The sequence below is a fragment of the Homo sapiens genome, chromosome 1 (genome assembly GCF_000001405.40).
Source record: "Homo sapiens chromosome 1, GRCh38.p14 Primary Assembly".
Classification (NCBI taxonomy): domain Eukaryota; kingdom Metazoa; phylum Chordata; class Mammalia; order Primates; family Hominidae; genus Homo; species Homo sapiens.
This window is the reverse complement of record NC_000001.11, coordinates 7,628,519-7,652,352: the sequence shown is the minus strand read 5'-3', so window position 1 is coordinate 7,652,352 and position 23,834 is coordinate 7,628,519. Positions and strand designations below refer to the sequence as shown.

General features: G+C 57.0%; 1 protein-coding gene across 24 annotated transcripts in view, besides 8 other annotated features; it reads right to left on the bottom strand.

Annotated features, from left to right (window-relative positions):
• Positions 1-23,834, bottom strand: part of CAMTA1 (calmodulin binding transcription activator 1) — a 984,253-nt gene that overhangs the window by 117,354 nt on the left and 843,065 nt on the right. For all 24 annotated transcript variants that reach the window (XM_011541084.3, XM_011541083.3, NM_015215.4 and 21 more), the window contains one exon: positions 11,800-11,953. In XM_011541084.3, the coding sequence (XP_011539386.1) occupies positions 11,800-11,953 (154 nt within the window). The remainder of the gene's footprint in view (positions 1-11,799; positions 11,954-23,834) is intronic.
• Positions 649-1,148: an enhancer, noted in NCBI's record as "H3K4me1 hESC enhancer chr1:7711265-7711764 (GRCh37/hg19 assembly coordinates)". NCBI's record gives its function as "activates a minimal SCP1, AML or CMV promoter by ChIP-STARR-seq in naive H9 embryonic stem cells {active_cell/tissue: H9 hESC(naive)}" and the evidence as "EXISTENCE:reporter gene assay evidence [ECO:0000049][PMID:30033119]".
• Positions 1,149-1,650: an enhancer, noted in NCBI's record as "H3K4me1 hESC enhancer chr1:7710763-7711264 (GRCh37/hg19 assembly coordinates)". NCBI's record gives its function as "activates a minimal SCP1, AML or CMV promoter by ChIP-STARR-seq in naive H9 embryonic stem cells {active_cell/tissue: H9 hESC(naive)}" and the evidence as "EXISTENCE:reporter gene assay evidence [ECO:0000049][PMID:30033119]".
• Positions 8,042-8,542: an enhancer, noted in NCBI's record as "H3K4me1 hESC enhancer chr1:7703871-7704371 (GRCh37/hg19 assembly coordinates)". NCBI's record gives its function as "activates a minimal SCP1, AML or CMV promoter by ChIP-STARR-seq in primed H9 embryonic stem cells {active_cell/tissue: H9 hESC(primed)}" and the evidence as "EXISTENCE:reporter gene assay evidence [ECO:0000049][PMID:30033119]".
• Positions 9,328-10,296: an enhancer, noted in NCBI's record as "H3K27ac-H3K4me1 hESC enhancer chr1:7702117-7703085 (GRCh37/hg19 assembly coordinates)". NCBI's record gives its function as "activates a minimal SCP1, AML or CMV promoter by ChIP-STARR-seq in primed H9 embryonic stem cells {active_cell/tissue: H9 hESC(primed)}" and the evidence as "EXISTENCE:reporter gene assay evidence [ECO:0000049][PMID:30033119]".
• Positions 11,398-11,898: an enhancer, noted in NCBI's record as "H3K4me1 hESC enhancer chr1:7700515-7701015 (GRCh37/hg19 assembly coordinates)". NCBI's record gives its function as "activates a minimal SCP1, AML or CMV promoter by ChIP-STARR-seq in naive H9 embryonic stem cells {active_cell/tissue: H9 hESC(naive)}" and the evidence as "EXISTENCE:reporter gene assay evidence [ECO:0000049][PMID:30033119]".
• Positions 11,398-11,935: a biological region, named in NCBI's record as "H3K4me1 hESC enhancer GRCh37_chr1:7700515-7701015".
• Positions 11,795-11,935: a silencer, noted in NCBI's record as "fragment chr1:7700478-7700618 (GRCh37/hg19 assembly coordinates)". NCBI's record gives its function as "represses an EF-1alpha promoter that drives an FKBP-Casp9 reporter gene in an ReSE screen in HepG2 liver carcinoma cells {active_cell/tissue: HepG2}" and the evidence as "EXISTENCE:reporter gene assay evidence [ECO:0000049][PMID:32094911]".
• Positions 16,258-17,239: an enhancer, noted in NCBI's record as "H3K4me1 hESC enhancer chr1:7695174-7696155 (GRCh37/hg19 assembly coordinates)". NCBI's record gives its function as "activates a minimal SCP1, AML or CMV promoter by ChIP-STARR-seq in primed H9 embryonic stem cells {active_cell/tissue: H9 hESC(primed)}" and the evidence as "EXISTENCE:reporter gene assay evidence [ECO:0000049][PMID:30033119]".

Genomic DNA, 23,834 nt, shown 5'->3' with positions numbered 1-23,834 from the left:
ATGGGGACTTGCTCTTGGAAAATCAGAGCAAGCAGGAGAGGAAGGGGGAAGAAAACCTGGGAGGCTGCTGCAAGGAGGACATCTCAGCAACGCTGCATCCAAGCCTGGGAGCTGGGGCTTCCCTGAGGCATGTGCTGGTCTTGTCACGGCAGCAGGCTTTGTGCCTGGTTAGAGGTGCATTTGGGGGGAATTTCTATAAAAACCCAAAGAAGCTAAGAAGGGTTCATTCCAGACGGTACAGGATGTGTGGGGGCAATGCTTGGCTCCACGACAGGGCCTCCTCATTTGGGGTATGGTGGGGGTGGGAGGGGACCCCCTGAGGGATGGCAGGGGGCTGAGGGGCAGCTTCGTCTTGGCTGTCTTTCATTCCTGACATGGCTGTCCCATGCAGTGGTGGGGCTTTCCCAAAGGGCAGGGAAAACCTCCAAGTGCGATGCCCTGTGCTGGCTATGTGGGAAGAAGAGGCGAGAATTTAGAAACAGTGGGAGACCGGGTGGCAGCACCGTGCTGGCCTGGGGTCGGGGCCCCCATGTGGCCGCAGCTGTTTCCCTCATGCACTGTGTGATCTTAGAACAAGATCTTTGTTTCCTCTGGATCTTAGTTTCTTCATCTGGAAAGTGGTTGCCTCTTGCCAGTTCACCTGACTGTATGCCACTGGGCCCTATCCAGGTAGGTGGCCCCACCCCTGGATTCTGATGTGATGGCATCCACAGGAGATCTGCCCAGGCCAGGGTGGAAAGCCTCACAAGAGGGGAAGCTCTCTGCTCCGCAGTCCTGCCTGGAAGACTTTGGAAAGGAATTGGACGAGGAGACAGAGAGAACTCCAGAAGTCTGCCTCAGCCCCTGGTGGCTCCTGGAACGGGTGAGAACCAGCTACCTGTCCCCTCTGCTCTGTGGGGCAGTAACTCTTGGAAGGATGACAGGGCAAGGCCACCTGGAGCTTTGGTCACCATGGTAACTGTACAGGCGGCACCTGCTGGAATCGACGCTTGGCCTTCCTTTGCATGAGAAGAGATTTCTGGGTGCTGTGATGAGCAGGTGGCAAGGACGAGGGGCAGTGTCCTTTTCTGGAGGGCTGTGGGGGGCCCTGTCCTCCTCCTCCATCTGGGCTCGTCCAGTCCACCCACCTAGGTACCCTGCCACCCAAGAAAGACCCAGAAAGAGGGTGGCCATTTAACTAGTCAAGCCAGGTCACCTTGGGAGCCAACAAAGGGTGCTGTGGTCATTTGTCCAGGTGCTGGTATAGGCTGGGTTGCTCTCCAGCAACCCTGGACGTGTGGCTGCTCTCCTTATGAACCACGTGCCGGAGGCGGACGGGAGAGGGAGCGGCCACGTGCCTCTCCTGGAGTGAATGAGGCCCCTTCGGAGTCCTCGGTGTTGTTGACACTAGAAGGCTGTCTCCATGGCGACAAGGTCAATGGGAAATGGCAGCCGGGTTGGTTTAATTTTCACTGTATTCTTGTTGACAGGAATAAAGGCCCTGTTTCTGATTTCTTGGTTCAACTGGATGAAATTTTCATTAGATTTAACTTCTCATATCCAGACACCCACATACTATTCAATTTCCCGATCTCACCACTCAACTCTCATTCGCCTATTGGTCCTGAGGACAAAATTTTCAGAAATCTCATTTCGAGGAGCGCAGAGGCTGAGGGGGGACGGGATGGAGTGTGCGCCCACCGTGTGCACATGCGGGGACCTATCTGCCGTGTCCCCAGTGAGCCTGTCATTTCTGGTGCTCGCTGTTGGGGCATCACAGTCCTCCCTCTGCCAGGGGGCATGGGCTTCGTCCCAACATCACACGTCCTCTGGAAAAGGCGGGGGTGGAGGGTCCAGCAGACTGCCAGGGTGTTGAGAGCTTGACCTTCCCGTATTCTTTCTTCTTGCAAGTGGGACAGACATTGTCAATGAGGGGTAGGGAGAGGCGCCATTCCAGCCCGGCCAGTGACTCCATCATCAGGAAATACAGAGCGTGTGGGGTGGCATGTCCTTTACCCCTGTAACTGGCCTCACAGGAAATCTCCAAGGTGCTCAGTGACATACAAAGTGGCACTTTAGAGCCATCCTGAGGCTCTCGGAATCTTCTCCTGATGTGCGAAGCGGCATTGTTACCAGGCTGGGAATTCTTTGCACCGTGGGTGAAGTGTGAGTGCGCTAGGAGTGCCGGCCGCCTGGCAGCGTCAGAGCCTCAGGGTTATCTGCCCCTCCAGGCCACTTGGAAAGAGGGGTGGGGGACCAAGTGGGATTCTGGATGCTTCCATCTTGCTCCTGGTAAGACTGCTCTAGGGCCTCCTGGACTCAGGTGCCTCCTGGTGTGTGGGGAGGTAGCGCCGCAGGAAGCCAGGCTCGGTCCACAGAGCAGCCGCCTCTGAGCTCCCAACTACCTGGCCTGGAGCCTTCCATTTTTAAAGAGAGGCTGAAAATCTGGAGATTTGAATGTTGGCAATGAATTCTAACTTTGACAGAACCACTCCCTGGCACCTAGCAGGGCTCAGCATCAGCTCTGCATAGCAGTCAGGGCCCAGGACGTCGGTGGGGTCCTGTATCCCCAACACCAGCACAGGGGCGCACTCCACAAAAGGGGGATCTCCTGTCACGGAAGCAGCTATGCGGCCTTGAAGCGGCCCTGGGCAGCAAGACGCCAGGAGAGACAGGAAATCAAAAGCAGTATTTCTCTTCCAGTCCTCCTTGGGGGCCGGATCGGCTCCATAAAACTAGCTGGAGTGAGAAACCAACATTTGCAAAACAAACCTGGATCCTGGAGCAAAGTAGGAAGGAAGCCCCACACTCAAGTCAGCCTCTCCGTGCCCACCCTCTGCTGTCCTCCATGCCAGGTTGGAAGGGGGCTGCAGGCATTCTGGCAGGAGCCAGGAAGAGGGCTGGGACCCACCTGGAGATTCCAGGAACCTGCCCTGCCTGCTCCTCATGGCAGCAGCTCCTTCCCAAAGGGAAGGGTAAAAGGCAGAGGAAATCCTCTCCAGGAACCCCCAGCGCTATCGCTGCCTCCCCCATGACTCCCAGGCCCCGCAGATGCAGGCAGGGAGCCGGGCCTCTGCTCTCAGGGACCGAGCTGCTGTCTGGGCTGCCGTGGGGACACAGATGTGCTTCCTCTTATGCAACTCCAGGGTTTCTCACAAGTGCAAGTCAACAAGTGTCTGGCAAGGCTCCACCATGTGCCGGCACCAACACCTCAGCTGCAAAACAAGGAAACTTCTAGAGTCGTATTTCTTAACCCAGAGTCTACGGAAAGTCCTCACACAGTCCTGGAACATCCAGAAATGGTACACCCAGTACTTAGTGCATGCTGGGGACTGGCTTCCTCTGGGAGTGTGGCTACACTAAGCTCCGTGTGGCCTCCAACGCCTGCCCTCCTCGCACCTGGATGTGAGAAAGGAGGCCTGTGGCCCAAAGAGGTGCTGGTCCTGCTCTTGGCTGGCCTCTCGCCAGAGGCTGCTATAGGCCGGGGTTCCTTAAAAAGTATGGTCCTGGGGACCCCAGCACAAGAACCTAGCTTCATAAAAAACTCAGTGTCTGGAGCCCACTCCAGACCCAGGGAGTCAGAATGTCTGGGGAAGGGCCTGCCTTTCAGCCCCTCCCAGGTGGTTCTGAGGGGGAACCATTGTCTCTGCTCAGGCTTTCTGGGACCTTGGTGGATTCCAGGGTAAGACTGCAGCCGGCTCGGCTCCCTCTGAGCCCCAGAACTGGGTGGCCTGGGGGGCCCGAGCTCACTCCTGACATTCAGCCATTTGCTCCTATCCCAGAAGTCTCTGCTCAGAGGTAGTGACCCTGGAACACGCCTCTAAGTGAACACTGCTGGCCAGAAAGAGTCCCTCTAACAACACCCCCTCTCTCTCCCACCCGGGGCTGATCCCCCCACTCCTTACTGTGCCCACACCTGTAGCTCCATGGGGGAAAAGTTTTTGCAGCTCTCTTCCCTTCTCTCTCTCTTTTTTTTTTTTTTGAGGTGGAGTCTCACTCTGTTGCCCAGGCTGGAGCACAATGGCACGATCTTGGCTCACTGCAACCTCCACCTACTGGGTTCAAGTGATTCTCCTGCCTCAGCCTACCAAGTAGTTGTGATTACAGGCACCTGCCACCATGCCCAGATAATTTTTGTATTTTTAGTAGAAACAGGTTTCACCACATGGTCAGGCTGGTCTCAAACTCCTGACCTCAGGTGATCTACCTGCCTCAGCCTCCCGAAGTGCTGGGATTAAAGGTGTCAGCCACCATGTCCAGCCCTCTTCTCTTCTCTCTCTTCTTTTCTTTAGACAAGGTCTTGCTCTGTCACCCAGGCTGGAGTGCAGTGGCGCCATCTCAGCTCACTGCAGCCCTGAACTCCCTAGGTTCAAGTGATCCTTCCACCTCAGCCTCCCAAGTAGCTGGGGCTACTGGTGTGCACCACCACATCTGGCTAATTTTTCTATTTTTTGTAGAGACAGGGTCTCGCCATGTTGCCCAGGCTGATCTTGAACTCCTGGGCTCAAGTAACCCTCCTGCCTCGGCCACCCAGAGTGCTGGGATTACAGGCGTAAGCCACTACGTCCGGACTTTTAGGCTGGCTGCTGTCCTTCCTCGATGGGCTCTGGCTGAGCCTTAGGGATACCTGTTCCTAGTCAGGCTCGGAGCTCCCAGCCCGCCGTCCCCAGCCAGCCAGGTGATACTGGATCAGGATCGACTGAGCTGGAGAGGAAAAAAGGTGGGCACAGGCACCTCTCCCTAGGGTCTCCTGCTGCTAGTTCCAGCCCCACCCCAAGCCCCACCACTCCAGAATTACAGAGCAGGTCCCCAAACAGCCTCCTAGCACATCTCAGACACCAGGTCCAGAGGCGCGGGTGGGACAGGCCCCCGCCTGCAAGCTCCAGGTGGCCTGGACCGGGGAGTCAGGCTTCCCTGGGGCTCCCATCTCCGAGCGGGGCCGCTGCCACTGGCCACCAGGTGGCGCTGGTCGACCAGGAACGGCTCCGCGAGCCCCAGGAAGGAAGGCTTTGTTGATTTTCCTTCTTGATATTCTATAATCACCAGGATTACAATCTAAGCAAAAAACAAAACAAATAAACACAGCCCCCCCCCCTTCTGGATCTTTGGTCTTTGTCTGAAAAATTATGAGAAAACAAAAGGCGCACTGAACATACAACCCCAGGCTTGGGTACTGGCAACAGCGAGGGCCTCCGGAACAGAGGGAGGGAGGCTGGGGGTCTGGGGATCCTGGGCTCTGCGACCTCTCCCAGCCTGAGCTGGGTCCCTGGAGAGCAGGTGCTGGCTAAGCAGCCGCTCTGAGCAGATTTCTCTGCCACTGCAGCCACTGCTCAGCAATGAGGGGCCCGTTTGCAGCCACCCCATCCGAGGCCCGGTACTGGAAACGGTGTGGTGTCTCGGCAGCACTGCCTTACAGATGCTGAAGGCTGGCAGGACTGACACCCTGGCCCCTGGAAAACCAACAGGCTGCAGGTGAGGACCAGTGTGTTAGGGGAGATGGACTGTGGGGGCCATGACAGCACAAGCAAGCCCACACTTGCCAGGGCCTCCACCCAACTCAACAGGGCCTCCATTCACACTCACTAGGGCCTCCATTCCAACTCACTGTGGCCTCCACCCCACTCACCATGGCCTCCACCCTCACAGTCACCATGGCCTCTACCCAACTCACCATGACTTTCACCCTCACAGTCACCATGGCCTCCACCCTCAGTCACCAGGGCCTCTACCTCACCAGGGCCTCTGCTCACACTCACCAGGACCTCCTCCCAACCCACCAGAGCCTCCACCCAACTCACCAGGGCCTCCACCCAACTCACCACAGCCTCCACCTTCACAGTTACCATGGCCTCCAACCACTCACCAGGGCCCTCACCCTCACAGTCACCATGGCCTCCACCCTCAGTCACCAGGGCCTCCATCCGCCTCAACAGGGCCTCCAGTCACACTCACCAGGGCCTCCACCCAACTCACCAGGGCCTCCAACCACACTCACTATGGCCTCCATCCAACTTACCAGGGCCTCCACCCAACTCACCGTGGCCTCCACCCAACTCACCAGGGCCTCCACCCAACTCACCGTGGCCTCCAACCACACTCACTATGGCCTCCATCCAACTCACCAGGGCAGGGCCTCCACCCAACTCACCATAGCCTCCACCTTCACAATCACCATGGCCTCCACCCTCACAGTCACCATGGCCTCCACCTGCAGTCACCAGGGCCTCCATCCACCTCAACGGGGCCTCCGCTCACACTTACCAGGGCCTCCACCCAACTCACCATGGCCTCCACCCAATTCACCAGGGCCCCCACCAAACTCACCAGGGCCTTCACCTGCACTCACTATGGCCTCCACCCCACATTCAGGATGGCCTCCACCTCCACTTTCAACATGGCCTTTGTGGCCTCACATTTACTATGGCCTCCACCACCTGCCATGGAGGTGAGGTTGCTTTTGGAGGAAGTGTGGGGGTGGAGGTGCTGAATCCCCACACACTCGTGCCTGTGGATACGTCGTGTGCCCGTGCAGAAGCATGGAGGTGCACAGAGCACTTGTGTGGTGTGGGCGTAGGCCCTGGGGCTCTGCTGATTCCACAGCCAGCCCTCCTGCCGCCCGCCCAGTGCTGCAGAGGACACCTGCCCCAGAGGCCTGAGTACTCTGGCCTGATGCCAGCGGAGCTCTGGGGCTGGCAGGCAGGGTGGAGCTAAACCCCGAGGCGGCTGGGGGAGCTGCCTGCTGATTTCCGGGCCTTCGAAGCCTGCAGGAAGGCCTAGGACTTGCTCATGGCTGCAGGGCCATCTGGCCAGCCAGGGCACTCCAAGAGGAGCCTCCAGGTGGGAGAGCTGGGACAAGATCACCACACGGGAAGGGCTGTGAACACAGCTTAGAAGTCATGCCCTCGCCACTCACTCCGGATGGAACAACCTCACCAACAGCTTGCTGGGAAATGCCTGGCGTGCCATCCCCTCCTGGGCTGCCAGGAAATGGGCAGGGAAGAAAGCCACGGGTGCTCAGAGGGAGAGGATCTTCTCCGAGGAAACGGTTCCATCTGGCTTTCTGTAGGTTCCAGTGGAGCCAAGGGTGCAAGGTTTGGGGCATGGCAGTTTAGAACCACTGTGGCTCTGAGCAGCCCAAGATCACTGAGCAAGTTTCCTGCCAGCTTGGCAGGACAGAAGCACAGAGCCTGCCTGGCAGAGCAGTCGACTCCACTCAAAGTCATCTCTCAGTGGCTAATCTGGGAGGAGAGGACTCCCCCTTCAGCTCCTCACTCACACTATGGGGGTTTACTGGGTGCAAATCTGGTGCTCTCTCAGACCAGCTGCATTGGAACAGACCCTGGAATTTCCAGGATGAGACATACTAAGCTTTAGATCACTTGCGTACTGTAAACTCCAGGCCTCAGACGGCGCCTCAGACAGTCATTGCCAGGCCTTGGACTGAGATGGGCAATTCTGTGCACTATAAGCCAGAAAGCTGAAGCCCACAGGGGCACCCCAGGCTAAGCACAGCTCTACTCAGCCCTGAATGATTCACATGCAGAACCTCTTTCCCCAAAGTACGTTAGGATGGAACTACAAAGCAAAAAACGACACTTCCCAGACTCTCTTGCAACTAGGAGTAACCATATGACAAAATTCTGTCCAACGACACCAGAGATGAAATGATGTATGCAAGTTGTGGGCTTAAAGGGAAGGAACTCACCCTCCACCTTATTTTCTCCTCTTTCCACTGGTTGGAATGCAGTTGCAATGGCAGGAGCTGGAGTAGCCATTTTGGACCATGTAAAAGAAGGCAAAGCCCTAGGAATGGGGAGCAGCCACCCGGAGGGAGCCAGGGTGGCCGATCCCTGACCCTGGGGCTGCCACATCAACCCTGAACTGTGACATGAAAGCCAAAGGAGCTTCCCTTTCATTGAAGCCACTGTTATTTTGGTCTTCCTCATAGCAGCAGGACCCATAGTCTCATGATTACAGAAGGGATTCCAAAAGACAGGAAAGATCTCTGGGAATGTCCTGGGAATTCCTATCAGCTATCTTCATTTATTTCTGTGTGTGTTTTTTTTCATCTGAAGGAAGCATTCCTCAGATTGCAGGTGGAAGGGAAGCCCCCTTCTGACCAAAGGGCACAGCTGCAAGGACCAGGATGGGATTCTCTGAATCAGCCTGGTGAGATTCCCAGGGCATAAGGTCACGGAGCCCCCATCTCACAGCAGGTGAGGTGAAGGCTGCAGACCCATCTCCCTTCAGCCCTGGGGAGCACGACATTGTGATTAAACCGCTGACAACTCCGCTGGCGGGCAGGGAAATTTGGAAACATCAGGAAATCAAACTGTGAAGTCTTCGAAGGCACGCGATTTATGTGAAAATGGGATGAAGCTAATGTGTTTGGCTCCAGTGTTGGGTGACCCGCCTGATTCTGGAATCAAATCTGAGGTCTTCTTGGCTCTCAGCACACCTCTGCTGTCCCCGGACACACACACTTAGCTGGTGCCCTCTGTGTGTTCCAAGCCTGATCGTCATCTGCGCCTTCTCCTGCAGCCGCATTTCCAGGGCTGTTTCTCGGGCTGTGTTTCTGTCAGAGCCGTGCACACGCACGCCCGAGCCAAGGAATTGTGTGCGGCTCTGCTTCCCCCAGCCCAAGACACCAGAGAGCTGAGTGTTATTAGATTTATGGGGAGTTTGTTGTAGTTTTACATAATTTTCTGATGCACTGCAGATTTTTGAGCAGGCATTCACAGTTCCCTCCAGTTCAGCATTGGAGGCTGGCTCCGGACTGGTTTCCACCCCCTGGAGTTCATAAAGCCTAATTCCTCCCACCCAGCCTGGAGGTGGCATTCCTGTCTGATGGATGGGCAGCTCCAGGAAAAATGGGGAGCATATGGCTGAAGGAGAAGGGCTGTCTGTGTGTGTCGAGAAGAATTTGGGAAGGCCCAGGCTAGCAGCCTCTGACTGTAGGAGCCACCTTGAAAGGCATCTTTTCCCTTGGGAGAACCTCCTTGGCTAATCTCTGGCTCACACAATCTCTTGGAACTTTTGCTGGGGCCCAGGGGATTGGGGCTGCTCCCCGGCCATATGGATGGGGCCTCTGTCCAGCAAAGGGGCCCTCATTTTCCAGTGGAATCTGACAAGAGGAATTCCTTCTAGTGACCTAAGAAGAAGCAGACAGAAGGCTCAGAAAGGCCAGGAAGGCAACTCCTCCTCCTGACTGAAGACTTGTTTTGAGCAGGAACTCCCCTCTAAATGTAAACACTGAGGGGTGGGAGGAGCTTCAGAAGCACCTGGACCCTGGTCACCCTTTCAAGGCAAGAGTACTTAGGACCCTAATTTTGAAAGCACTGACTAAGCCCCAGAAAGGAGGTTCCAGGCTACTTCCTGCAGGCCTGGAGTGCACTCAGCCATGGCAGCTTCTGCAGGACCAAGCTGAGCCCTCTGGAGTGACTCCACCTCCCAAGAAATGGGACAGGCTGGCAGCCTCAGCCCCTTGGACATGGTGTGCAGGGGTGGAGGAGCTGAGCCGGGCCCCCTGAGATGGCTGGAAGTGCTGGTCTTAGGGCAGAGGCTGCTAGATTCTTGCTACCCCTTTATAGAAGGGGTACTGGGGTGCAGAGAGGGTGGGGCATTGGTCTGGGGCTGTGTAGAGGGGCAGCCATGAAGCCAGGATGAGCACCTGCCTCCTGACTTGCCAGCCCTGACTCTTTCTACCGCCCTGGCCAGGGGGCACCAGCATTCCTGGTCAGCAGTCATAGCGCTGGCCCAGCTGAGGCTCTGCGGCAGAGAAAGTATCAGTAGGCCCCCTGGGGCGGGGTCTAGGCAGGACCCAGTGTCCGGTGCCAGCCCTGCATAGTGAGGTGCCCCCTATGTACTGAGTACGAAGGCAGGCAGGCGGGCCTGACAGCAGGGCCCGCAGCACCGGTGCCCCAGACTCCTAGCCTCTGGCCTGCCCTTGGGAAAGTGCCACTCAGCAGCCCCGGCTCCCAGAGCCAGGACACTGCAGCTTCTGTCCTCTGCTCAGGACCCTGGGCAGGTCCCTTCCCCCCCACCATTCCAGGGCTATTTCCAGGGCCTTGTGCACACCCAGCACTGTGCAGAGAGCCGGAGGGCTTCCCAAGGGCAGCTGTGCCATTTCCCCATGCTTCCCGGTGCTCGGCAGCATTTTGAAGAGGCTCACGAGGCCCCTCCTGATGAAGCGCGGGAAGCTGACATCTCCCCCGTGGGGGCTCGAGGAGGCCAGGGCACAGGGGTGTGAAGGCCCAGCTGGGTGGTGGGAGGGCCTGTGGAGAGGCTGAGAGCTGAGGGAAAGGTGGGGTGAGCAGGCAGAGCCAGGGAGAGGGGCAGGTGGAGAGGCAGCAGGCTCTGGGGAGTGGGGACTACAGCAGGTGGAAAGGGCGCAGAGTCCTGCAGAGGCCGGGGGCTGCGGGTGGGGGGGCTGCAGGCTGTGCTCAGGAGCTTGGGCATTGAGCGTGCATTGAATGGGCATTGAGTGGTTTTAAGCAGAGAGGGATGTGGTCAGGGCTGCAGTTAAGAAGGTTGCCACTGGGTGTGGTCTGAGCTCAGGAGGTCCCTGGGCTGCCTGCCTCGAGGTTCCAGGCAGAAGCACTGAGGCAAGCCTGGTCCAAACCTCCCCACGGGGTACTTGGCTCAAAGGACGACACGTGAGGAAGCTCAGTCTTGTGGTCCTGCCCTTGGCGGGCAGGGCTGTCACCCACTGGGGGGCCTCCCTTGCCACACAGACCCCTCTGTCCCTCCTGACCCTCATCCCCAACCTTGAGGCTGGGAGCAGATCCCTAAATCCGAGCACCCAGGGGACTCTCAGGATTAGCATCACCGCAGGTGCCCGTAGCCTCAGCCTGGGCCCTCCCAGGCACAGGACCTTCACCTTTCCTCCCAGCCGCAGAAAGAATATTTCAGTCCCCCCGCTGTATATGGTGACCAACAGCTGCTTCCTCCCTCCAGCCCAGCTCCAGGGACAGTTCTGCTTCTGAGTGAGCCACTGACCCACCCCCTCAGGCCCTGCTGATGGCAGGTCCTTGCCCTGAGCCCTGGCCATCAATGTCCCTGAACCCCGTGGGCTACGTGTCCACCACTAAACAGCCCCCATGCTCTTCTTGGGTCAGGAAAGCCCCAGACCCATGTTTGTTTTTCCCGAGCCCCGCTGAACAGGGGGCAGGAGAAGCCACTGAGAGCCGCCAGCGGCTGCCGGGAGCTGTGGCCACGGCAACAAAGTACGGAGCAGCCCCAGCTTCCCTGCCTCACTCGGTGTTTTGCATTCTGTGATTTGCACCTGACAGATGCTTCAGAAAGCACCACTTTGCTGACAAAATGAAATCCAGCTCAATTACCATCATCTATTTGCCACCCAGCCTGGGAGCCGAGGCAGGCCCTGAGTCCAGGAGGTGGTGGCTAAGCCCAGATCCCACGTGGATGGGCAAGGCAGGAGGCAGGGTCCGCTCCCGCCACCCCTCCCCTGTTCCATACTTTCCCTCCCCAGCCGGCCTCCACTCCTGTCTGTGGCCCCGGAGACCCGGTCCTGGCCCACTCTTGGCCTGCTTCTTCCTCTACATGCTCTGTGTCTCCAAACCTCACTCTTTTCATCTGTCACGTGGGCCTGGCATTTTGTGCCCTGGCTGTTGTATAGGGAGCTTACAAGGGGCCAAGTGAAGGTGGGGCAAAAGCTAAGCTCACGGTGCCACTGTCATTCCAGCAAGATGGGGCTCCGGACCCGCATCCCCAAGGCCACAGAGGACCTTCCTGGCCCCGCCTGGTTGATGCCAGCCTGGTTCCCAGCGTGGGGGCGCCAGGCCGGCCAAGGCCACTCACACATGGGTTTCAGCTGCCCGATGAGCTCTTCTTTCGTCCATTTCGCCCACTCCTTCTTGTCGGTGTTGATGGAGCAGAGGATGGGGCCGCAAGGCTTGCCGCAGTCCTCGATGGCCGGCACGTTCAGGTAGTGCACCAGGACGATGTCGGGGTTCTGTGGGGAGAGCAGAGACTGGCAGCATGAGGGTGGCATGGAGCCCACCAGGGTCAGGGCCGCCCCCAACCCCGCAGGTGCAGGCAGAGACTGAGGCCCCAGACACCCGGCTCTCTTGACCTCACACTGCTGACGGTTGCAGCCAGATGGTTCTGTGGTGGGGGCTGTCCGGCGCATGTGGGATATTAGCAGACTCGCTGGCCTCTACCCACTAGATGTCATTAGGCCCCTCCCCCTCCGGCTGTGACCCCTGGAGAAGTCTTCAGACATTGCCCAGTGTCCCCTAGGGGGCAAGATCACCCCTGGTTGAGAAACTCTGACCTACACATAAGCTGATATGTGTGTAACTGGGAACCACGGGCATGAGGTCAAATTCCCTCCAGCCCAACATCCCTGACCTCGCACCACAGCCACTGCCCTCTCCCTCCTTCACGCCCAACACGCGTTGCCCCCTCACAGCTTGCGGGATGCCCCCAACACAGGCATGGTCACCCGCTTCTCCCCAAGGGGAAAAGGAGCTCCCAGGGCTTAAGGCTCCTCCTGCTGAGGGCTGGAGCCCCTCTGCCTTCAGCCGTGGTCTTCTCCCCTGACAAACAGCCCTGCAATGAAGCACTTTTTTTTTTTTTCTTTAGACAGAGTCTCACTCCATCGTCCAGGTTGGAGTGCAGTGGTGTGATCTCAGTTCACTGCAACCTCTGCATCCTGAGCTCAAGTGATCCTCCCACTTCAGCCTCCTGAGGCTGGGACTACAGGCACACACCACCATGCCTGGCTAATTTTTGTATTTTTTGTAGAGATGGGGTCTCACTATATTGGCCAGGCTGGTCTTGAACTCCTGGGTTCAAGCAATCCGCCCACCTCAGCCTCCCAAACTGCTGCGATGACAGGCGTGAGCCACCGCACCCAGCTGGCACTTTCCATCTAAGCAATACCCAGGGGGCAGTTGGTGCCCAGAATCTCTGGAAACTCCTCCCTGGAAGAGCTCTTCTGTCACCCCATCCAGCTCGTCCACTCTTTCTTGTTGGTTTCTGGGGCGGAGTTTCCCAAACTTCTGGGCACCAGCTGCCCACAGGTATTCTGGGAAAGATCTCTCAGTCTGAAGACCTAAAAGGACCAGTTTGGGCCGGGCGTGGTGGCTTATGCCTGTAATCCCAGGACTTTGGGAGGCTGAGGCAGGCGGATCACGAGGTCAGAAGATCGAGACCATCCTGGCTAACACGGTGAAACCCCATCTCTACTAAAAATACAAAAAAATTAGCCGGGCATGGTGGCGGGCGCCTGTAGTCCCAGCGACTTGGGAGGCTGAGGCAGGAGAATGGCGTGAATCTGGGAGGCAGAGCTTGCAGTGAGCCGAGATCGCACCCCTGCACTCCAGCCTGGGCAACAGAGCGAGACTCTGTCTCAAAAATAAAAAGGCCCAGTTTGTCTCAAATCAGTTCCATTTAACAGTCAGCGCCTTCTCATCACATCTTATTAAGAATGTCCTCTGTCGCTTTCTGCCCCCCGAGCTCAGATAGGACATGCCCAGGGGCCTGTGTAAGGCAGCAGTGTCCCTGGGATGAGCATGGGGCCTTCGGTGGCTTTCTCATGGTCCCCCCAGAAGGCAGCGCTGCTTATCTGGCCACGACAATACTGACAAGTTTGTTAAAGAAAAAGCAATCCTGTCACTTTCTAGATGCATCTGGATAAGCCAGAAAAGCCTAGCTAAACCCTCCCATCTCAATCAGAGGGTATTTCTTGAACCTTTTTTTTTTCCTTTAGACAGGGTCTTGCTGTGTCACCTAGGCTGGAGTGCAGTGGCCTAATATCGGCTCACTGCAACCTCCACCTCCCAGGTTCAAGCAATTCTCCCGCCTCAGCCTCCTGAGTAGCTGGGATTACACGTGCACGCCACCACAGCCCGGCTAATTTTTGTATTTTTAGTAGAGACGGGGTTTCACCATATTGGTCAGGCTGGTCTCGAACTCCCGACCTCAGGTGATCTGCCTTCCTCGGCCTCCCAAACTGCTGGGATTACCGGTGTGAGCCACTGCGCCTGGCCTGAACCATTTTTTTCTTGCATTCTCCTAAGGAAACATGGCAGGATATCAGACGCTGCAGGGAACAATGGAAAAAGCCACGTGGGAGGCCTCATCCTGTGCTTTTCCTCCTGATAGAGGAAAGCTGCTTTCCCCTCTGCTTTCCCCAGCTGATAGACTGAGACTCAACCATGAGTCCTGGGACAGGCAGGACCCCAGGCAGGAGAGAGCTGGGTCTGCAACTGCTTTTTTGAATGTTGTCAGGGAAAGAGTCATACATGAATATATGAATCAATCAATCCATGAATAAATAAAGACTCAAGACCACACCATGACCAATGTAAGAAAGGAGACTGGCATAATTAAACAGATTTTTTCCTGCCAACGCTCAGTTAACCAGGAAACTCAATCAACACGAACAGGAGCCTTCTCCTTAATGGCGGCTTTTCTGGATTGCGGTAATCATGCTCCTTAATAATCACGATAATCCCTGACATAAGCGCAGCACTTTATTCTTTTCAAAGCACTTTCCAGCCATTATCTTATTCGGTGCCCCTGCTAGCCAAGGAGGCGGGCTGGGCAGGGTAGGGCAGGGCAGGGTGCCCTCTGTCTATAGAGAGGTGCCTGTAGCACTAAGAAGTTGTGATTGCCCAAAGCTATGTGCCAGCAGGGCACAGCCTGAGCTGGAAGCTGGGGCTCTGACTCCAGGTTCGGGTCCTGCCAGGACATCTGCTGGCCTCTCTTTTTGCTTGGCCTAAGTACTGTCTCATCTCCATTTCACTTCATTCTTGCAGTATGCCCAAGAGGTGGGTCGGGTAGATCTGCTATGCCCTTTGCATGGAGGGGGTAACGGCGGAGAGACGGGGTGATTCACTGTGTCCTTGCCCCGTGTTCTTCCTACAGACCAACATAGTGGCCTCCCAGGGACCGCGTCTGGGCTGAGGGCTCCTGCCTGTGCCTGGGCACGGCCAGGCAGCAATGCCAGCTGCTGAGCAAGATGAGTAAAGATCAAAGGACTGCAGGGGCCAGCAGGCCGCCCAGGGCTGCCTCTGATCCTGGCCCTGGAGCAGAAGCCCGGCCCTGCAGGAGGGAGCGGAGATGCCAGACGCCTGGGAGAGGAAAGGACTGCCGCATCCTGCCCCACAGTCGTGCTGGGCACAGCCTGGGCCAGCCTGGGACCCGTGGGAGGCCAAGGTGGCGGGCAGGCAGACAGGGTCTTGTGGGGCAAAGGCCCTCTCTCACCATGAACCCAAACCGTGGAGTTCCTGCATGAGAGCACCCCAAAAGCTGCTATCTCAGGAAGCTCTGCCTGCAGGCCTCAGCCTCCATCTGCATAACCAGCCTCCACCTATTCTTTGAGGTCAGATGCCAGGATCCCCTCCTCTTCCAGGAAGCCTTCCCTGATTCCCTCTCTGCCTCTACCATAGTAGGGTGGCATTTGGCTTTGTGTTTTAATTGTCTGAACATCAACTTTATTTCCTCAACCTCAGGGACAATGCCCTGCAGCTACGACAGTCCAACAATCACCGGTGCTTATTTCAGGTTTGTAGAATCAAATTAGGCTGAATTCTGACCTCCTGCTTGTGCCCTCCCTAGACCTGTGTTCTCCTGACATCTGGCTTCAGTTTTCTGGGTCCACAAAGGGCAGGGAAGCCTTCCTTTTTTTTTTTTTGAGATGGAGTTTCACTCTTGTTGCCCAGGCTGGAGTGCAATGGCATGATCTCGGCTCACTGCAACCTCTGCCTCCTGAGTTCAAGCAATTCTCCTGCCTCAGCCTCCCGAGCAGCTGGGATTACAGGCATCTGCCACCATGCCCGGCTAATTTTTAGTAGAGATGGGGTTTCACCACGTTGGCCAGGCTGGTCTTGAACTCCTGACCTCAGGTGATCCACCCACCTTGGCCTCCTAAAGTGCTGGGATTACAGGCGTGAGCCACTGCACCCGGCCGGGAAGCCTTTCTAAACACAGGTTGTTGCTAGGAAGGTAAGATACAATGCAAGGCTGGTTCTTCATCTTTTCTGGGTATGAGATCTCTTTGAGAGCCTGACGCAGGCAGTGGATACCCACCCCATCCTCCAACATACCCCAAGGCATATCAACACTTCAGTTCAAGGGCTCACAGATCCAGTGGTCAGTGGATCCCACTTCAGTAACTACAAATGTAGGGATTGTAGCATCCAGATCTACCCCTTTCAACTCAGGGCACCTGCCCAACACCGGGGGTGGGGGGTCCCTTCCCGGGAGCCTCCATGCTGGGCCTTGCCTTTCTCCCTTGTTTTGATACAATTAGCAGAGTGTCCCAGCCCCTGGCAGTTCCAGGAGACCAAGTGGAGGCTCAGGAGATGCAGGAGCAGGCAGCTTCCCGGTTTCCATCCCAGGGCCTGGAGCTCTTGCACCTGGAATGCCCAGAGTTGAGTAGTAACGATTTCCTGGCGTGGGGCTGGTTTTCAGACATGGGCTGATGGAGGTATTTTGGAAATTTGGGGCACACATCGCTTCTTGGCAATGTTGCAATTTTATTCATTAGTTGTACATTTTATTGGGTGTTTTTGGCAGAAAAATATATTAGCTTGGAGTCCTAATGTATCAGTTTCATGGAGTGCTCATAACGGTGTCAGAGTCCTTGCTGAGCTGCTTTGCTGGTGGCGAGATGGGCTCAGGTGGACCAGCTCAGCAGGGCGGCCTGCAGGAATGCCCGGGTTGGGCCTGGATCTGAGAGTCACGGCAGGGGACAGACCCCGCCAGGGCCCTGTATTTTTTTTTTTTTTTTTTTGAGACGGAGTCTTGCTCTGTCCCCCAGGCTGGAGTGCAGTGGCGCGATCTCGGCTCACTGCAACCTCCGCCTCCCGGGTTCACGCCATTCTCCTGCCTCAGCCTCTGGAGTAGCTGGGAGTACAGGCGCCCGCCACAGTGCCCCGCTAATTGTTTTGTATTTTTTAGTAGAGACGGGGTTTCACCGTGTTAGCCAGGATAGTCTCGGTGTCCCGATCTCGTGATCTGCCTGCCTCGGCCTTCCAAAGTGCTGGGATTACAGGCGTGAGCCACCACGCCCGGCCCGGATCCTTGATTCTGGACAGTTGTGGAGTGAAGCTGCCTTTGTCTTGCCCAGGCTGCCCTGATGTTTCCGTGGGGTTCACCACCCTGTCAGGCCCTGTGGGTTCAGGGAGGGAAGAAGAGCTTGTGCAGAAGCCCCTCCCTGGGCTATGGAGTTTTCATGAGAGATGCTAGGGGTCACCCCCCAAAGTGATCGTGACCTTTGGAGATGAGCCCTTGCTTTCCTGGAGGCCTGGTCAGTGCCAAAGGCTGGGGAGAGAGAGCCCCGTGGCATGGTCTGTGACTGTGGTGGTGGTAGAGGAAGCCAAGGATAAGTAAAAGTCTCAGAGAAGTTCCACAGCCTTCTGGAAGAGCCGTGGACGAGGGGATCCCTCCTCCCTCTTGGTGCCTCAGGCTCCTCACCCATAAGCATGGAAGCTGCGCCTCTTTCTCACTGGGGCTGCTGCAGGGAGCAGGGTCAGGCCTCGGAACAGCTGGAATGTCGTCAGGAGAGACAGAGGCCCCGCTCTACCACCACCAACCACCACCAAAACCAAACCCAGACAGAAAAAAGCCCTGACGTGCTTCCTGAGAGGGTGAGCAGAGTTAAGCCTCCAGCGGGCACTTCTGCTGCTTAGAGCCCCCTTCCTCCTCCGGCAGCCCCAGCCTGTCCCAGCTCTCCTCTTGCTGTGTACAGAGGCCCTTCCTCCACCAGCGTCCAGCCTGGGGCTCTGGCCTCCCTCTCTCTCGCTCTCTTTCTCCCTCTTTCCCTCTCTCCCTCCTTAGTGGCCTCATCCAGTGTCCTGACCTCACACCCACCAGATTCCCAGGACACCCAGATTTCCCTCTCCAGCCTACCTCTCCTCTCTTGCCTACCTGCCTGTTGACGGCACCCCTCGAAGGCCTCAAAATCCCCATGACTTCCCATGGCCGACCTCGCCTCCCGACCTCCTGCTCAGCACCCTTGGCCCCTCCAGGCTTCCCACAGCTGCCCAGGTCTGGAACCCAGGAGTCATCCTCTCATTTTCCCTCCCTCTCCCTCAACGGCCAGTCGATCACCCAGTTCTGCCATTTCTCCCACCCCAGGAAGCCTAATCCTCCCATATACCCCCTGCCTGCAATGACCAAGTCTGATCCTCCACCTGCTCTCCTGCGCACGTGGGAGTGTGCCCTCCTCCCGGGTGTCCTCACGTCTGCTCCTCCCTTCCCCAACCCACCCTTCAAACAGCAGCAGGCGTGGTTGGGCTGTTCCGGACGGCTCCTTGGCACTGAGATCAGGCCCACACTCCTGCCACGGTTCCAGGCCGGGCCACCTGTGCTTCTTGCTGGCCGCTGCCTGCCTCATGCACCTGGCTCCCGCCACCCCATTCCCCAGATCTGCCGCTTCTCTCCCTGGGCTGTGGTCTCTGGCTGCCACGCTCCATGCCACATTGGTCCCAGGTCACTTTCTTGTGGAAACCTCATTCAGCAACCCCGTTGACAACAGTGCCCACCTTGCCTGGTTCCCGCCTCGCTGTCTTTGCAGCACTAATCTCTCAGTTTCCGCTCAATTACTACTCGGGTTTGGCCTGTTTTCCTGGCCACAATGTGAGCTCCGGATGGCTGGGACTCTGTCTGCGGGGCAGCCACATGGCAGGGGCTCCATCCTACTTACTGAAAACCGGGGGCATAGCGGGGTGCCGCCAAGCTGCTCCAGCACACGGGCCAACAAGCCTGCTAGGGGGCACCTGGCCTTGGCTGGGGGAGCTGGTGCAGGGGTGGCTGTCTCCTCTCCGGAGACTCAGTGTCTCAGGACCAATCCTGGAGAACCCCCAGGCATGTCTTCTAGAGGGACAGACAGAGACTAGGGTGCGGGGAAGGAGTCGGTGTCCATCCCAGGCATGGGCTGGAAGAGGAGGGGGTCCACTCCCCCAGAAGGGGCCCAGGAGGGGTGGCATCTGGGGGGGTCCACGAGCTCTCTGCCCCTCTGCAGCTCTTCCTCTCTGAGGGAAGTTCAGCTTGTCCCTTAACCCAGCTGTGCCTCCTGGAAATGCATTTGGAGCTGCTGACCTCCCCAGTTCCAGACTCCCAGGGCCCTGCCAGGCACAGGACTCTCAGGCTGAAGGTGGTGGAAGGGCATCTCCCGGGAGCCTGAGGTAGAGTCAATCTCTTTGAGAACCTTTTCTAGATGGCACCTTTCACCCAAACTGCAGGGACAAAGAGAGGACGGGGGACAAGCTGAGGGCCTTTCCTCCAAAAGCACAGGAGAGGCTAAGAACATTCTGCAGAGAATGCCTGCTCTGTGTTAAGCAGGCCCTTTAGTGCTAGCCTGAACCTTGCCAGGAGGGGGTGAGGCAGGCAGAGGGCTCAGGACGGGCCTGGCCCCCAGCAGCGCTCATGTGTAAGGTCACTTACACTGGCTAGTAAATGGGCATGAGGCGGAGGTGGGGGAGGTGCTCCAGGCTGCAGAGGGGAGCTGAGCTCTGCACCTCCCGCATGCTGAGCCCACGCCTGGGCGTGCGCAATCAGCCCTTGGAGTTGGTTGAGGATGCAGCAGTGAGCTCTTCCCCAGAGACCCACGGAGGGGACTCAAGTCACCCACAGCAAGAGCCTTGGGGATCTCACATCCTTTTCCTGGCCGCTTCCAGGGGTGGATCCTGGGCCAATGGGTGTCAGGCAGCAGGGTCCCACCGCCCTGGCCTCGGCTCCTCCATCTCCGCTGAGGAGGAGGAGGCCTGGAGCCAGGACCCCTTTCTGTGGAGTAAGCAGGGTGGTGATGCAAGAAGTGGTTAAAAATGCAAAAAGCTGTTGGTTTTGATAAAGAAAAATGCAGCTGCAACATCTGTTTGACTCTTGTTTGCAGCTTCATCAACGCTAAGTGGTCAATAAATCAGAGTGGCATGGCGTTCCGTTTCTTCTGGGGCTCAGTCATTAATCTCGTGCCAGTTCTCATGAAAAATGAAGGAGAGAGGCCGTGTGATAGTGAAAATGTATACATTACCCAGAAAGTCATAATAGCATGTAATAGTGCCACACACCTCCCCACTTGCCGCTGGGGGCGCGGGGGGCGGGCCTGCCTGCCGCCAGCCGGATAGGAGGGAGACGGGCGAGGAAGCAGCATTGCCTGCGTCACAAGCTCCTTCGATCTTTGCATTTGTCATATTAGCACCATTTATACATATTCCGAATGTCCCATAAGCCTCATCATCAGAGGCACAGCCTTCCCTGCACCTGGATGCTTAATGAACAACGAGGGTAGGAGCCTGTGAAACGGGTGTGCAAGGCTGGGAGGGAGAAGGGCAGGGTTTATTAGGGACGGGATAGAGGGCGGCACTGGGCGGCACTGGGCGACACTGGGCGACACTGGGTGGCACAGGGCTGTGGTGTCACTAGGCTGCAGGACTGAGCAAAATCCTCTCACCCACCTTCTGGCTGCCCCAGGTAGCTGGGCCCCTGTCCTCTCTGCTCTGGGTAGCAGTGTGAGGTGGGACGATGGTTCCACTAGAAAGGAGGCTGATCATGAAGGCCTTGGCAGGCTTGGGTTCTATCCCCACTGTCACCCACTGAGGGTAGCCAGGAGGCAGGGGGAGGATCAGAGAGGCCTGGAGGATGGACGGAAGCACAAGAAGGATGCTCCCTGAGAAGGGCCAGGGCACGCGGGCGCCTGCTGCTCAGGTCTCCCAGGATCTGCCGGCCCCTGCAGGCTGCTGTCTCCTTGGGTCTCTCTTCCCTGCCTCTGATGGCTCCAATGCATAGTACTGTGGCATTCCACGGCCACTCAGGGGTGGGAGCATGCCTGGACCCACAGCACATACCTCCCAGTGGGCATTTCTGTTTTCACAGTTTGCTTTCTGAGTGTCAGCTGTGTCTCGGGCTCCACATTCAAGTTCTACAACCCACAGGTGCAAGTGGTATTGCTATCCCTGTTTACAGAAAGGAGAGTGCCTTTGAGGGCTGAGTCTCTGGGTGCCAGCCCTGCTTGAAGTCATGATCTCACACCTCCAGACCACTGCCCCAGGGCTCTGTGGGGCTCACTGGATGTTTCATGGGAGGGCTGTGCACTCAGCCTCAGTGCCCCGGGTGGCAGCAGCCCAGTTCATGTCTATGCCAGAGCAAAAGTAGGTCCAGGGAGCCCGGTTGGGTCATGTGAGGTGTGGGGAGCTGGGAGGACCAAGGATGTGGCTGGAAGGCTCCTGGCTGGTCTGTAAGCTCCTCAGGGCAGGACCGAGGCTGCAGATGTCCCTGTCTCCACATCAAGGGCCCACAGTAGTTAGAACACCCTCTGTGGGGTGTGCAGGGGAGTGGGGAACAGCCTTCAGGGACCCTGGAGCTGAGCACCCGGTAACTGGGGTACAGATCTAGGTCCCCAAAGTTGGCAGCTATTAAAGGATAAGCAAAAACAGAAGGGAGGGAGTAGGAACTGAAAGAGGGGCCCTGGTGCCCCAGTAATAGGCAGGGTCAGTAGTCAACTGTGCTCTTCTGGGGGCTTGGTCCTGCAATCTGTGCTGGGCCCAGGGATCTCCCACTGCGGCCGAGTGTGGCAGGCACACAGAACACCTCCCCACTTCCTTGTCAGTGCTCAGCAGGGCTGGAGGATTCTGAGCGATGGCTGGCAAGGGCTTCAGAGGGCCTACAGGCGAGGGCAGAGGTAGGCTGCCCTTGGGGGCCCTGCAGCACCTTCCCATGGCTGCCCTCATTACGCAAGCCTGTGCGCCAGCAGGAGTCAGGCCGGCAGCCCTTCCCTGCTTTGGAGGGAGGCTGGGAGACTTAATTAGTTAATGTGGGTAAAGTGGTCTGAAGATGAAAAACCCTGGGTAATTGCTGAGTGCTGCTGCTGTTACACAATTACCAGAATTTTCCAGTCATGGGAATATAGTTAAACAATTTCCACCTGGTGCGGGGTTCCGGGAACCATGCCGGCTCAGGGGCTGGCTTGCCCTGCCTCCTTTAGCCCAAAGGTAGTGTAGGAAAAACACATTTATGGTGGGAGATCATGCCTGACACAATCCTGGGCACATCCTAGACACCCAGAGAATGCTGGATGAAGGGAGTTCTCCACTCTCGCTGAGCAGATAAAGATGCATGTACCTCAAGAGGGGACAGAGGGTCCCGTCTGCCTGCACTTTCCAGAGGCCTCTGAAACAGTCCCACCCAAAGGCTGAGAGGGGGGTCAAGCCATCCTGGAGGGGCGCTGCCCGGGAGGGGAGGACTTTTCATTGCGCAGCAAGACCTGGCTGCCCAACAGCACGTATGCGTGGGGGCCCGGGCTGGCCTTATTTAAAATCATTATAAATGACCCGGGGGAAGACATGTCCGATAAAATCTCCACGTTTGCAGATGACACTAAATTTTAATGAGTAACGAAAAAGAGCCAGTGTCAGAGGGTATGGGAGCTACAGATGTATCCCAGGGCAGTGACGTGCAGGGCGAGAGGCTCAGGATGAGTAAAGCAAATTGGCAACGGAGGCTGGCAGCTCGAGCTGCCACTGCCAGGCCCCCCGAGAGAGGACCTCCCAGGATCCACAGAAGCCACTGGTCCACAGTTGTTGCAGGGACCAGAAAGGGCCCAGCCTGGAGAGGAGGGCAGGACCTGGGAACTGGAGACAGAATGGCCGAGGCGTCCTTGCTGCAGAGCTGGGTCTGAACTAGGGAGTGCAGGGGTGAGGGAGCACCAACTGAGGAGGGGCAGGCAGCTCCAGGAAAATGAAGATAAGGGCTTTCCGGTCCAGAAAGATAACAGTGGAGAGGAAATGTGATTCGAGTCTTCAGAAAGGGGAGAAGAGGTGAAAGTTGCTTCTAACTCTAGATCCATGAAAGCTAAGAATACGGGTTCCCCCACTCTGGAGCTCAGGGAGGTAATTTTAGCACAATCAAACTACACAGCGGGCAGTCAACGTATGAGACTCATTATTGCAAGGCGACATGGGCTGAAAAATATAAAGAGCTTTTTCTAAAATGGGTGACATTAGTTCCCGGATGGCTGATCCATAAGGAGTTGTGCAAGAGATCGGGATGCTGGGGGCCATCTCTCTTTGGGACCACAAAATCTAGGAGACACCATGATGGCCGGTGCCCCCACCAGGGTGGAATCTGGGGCTGCGAGTGTCAGCTGGACTGTTCAGCGTCCAACCATCCTTCTCTCTCTTGCCAGGGACCTGTCAGGGATGCAGGCTGCTGGCGTCCTGCAGTTGGCAGAGCCTGAGCTTGGATGAGATTGTTGGTTGGTGTCCTGTCCTGTTTGTCTCCTGCTCTCACCTTGAACTAATTTTTGATTTATTAGCAATGCTGCAAGAGTTGCTCCGACCACCCCTGGGACAAGAAGCCATGGGCCTTTCGCAGGGGCACAGGGAACTCCTGTAGGGCAAAGGTCCTCCTCAGGGCATGCAGCCCTGGCCCAGCAGAGACAGAGGGTGGAACAGCACAGATGCTGGGCAATCAGGTCTCAGAGGGCTGCAGTCACCATACCTCTGGCCTCCTGTCCCTCCCAGGAGCTAAATCCATAGGCACATGGCCTCCTCACCAGCCTCAAAGAGGTCTTGCCTGCAGCCTAGACTGGCCATGTCCTCCTGGATGGCTGGAAGCCAGGCCTGCTGCCCTCCCCTGTCTCTTCCATCCTCTCCAAGCACGTGCGCCCCACTTCTGCTCCCAGAGCTGGTGTGCCTGCTCAGAACTGTGCCCCATTAGGCAGTGAATCAAGCCCATCAGATGACAATGGCAGCAAACAGTCATTGAGGCATCTCTAGAGTGACTGATGTGCTCTGTAGCCTTTCCTGCCCATCTGCTCCCCTCCATAGCTCTGAAGGAAGTTGGGCATGTGCCACCATCCCTGCTGGACTGAGAGGTGCTACATG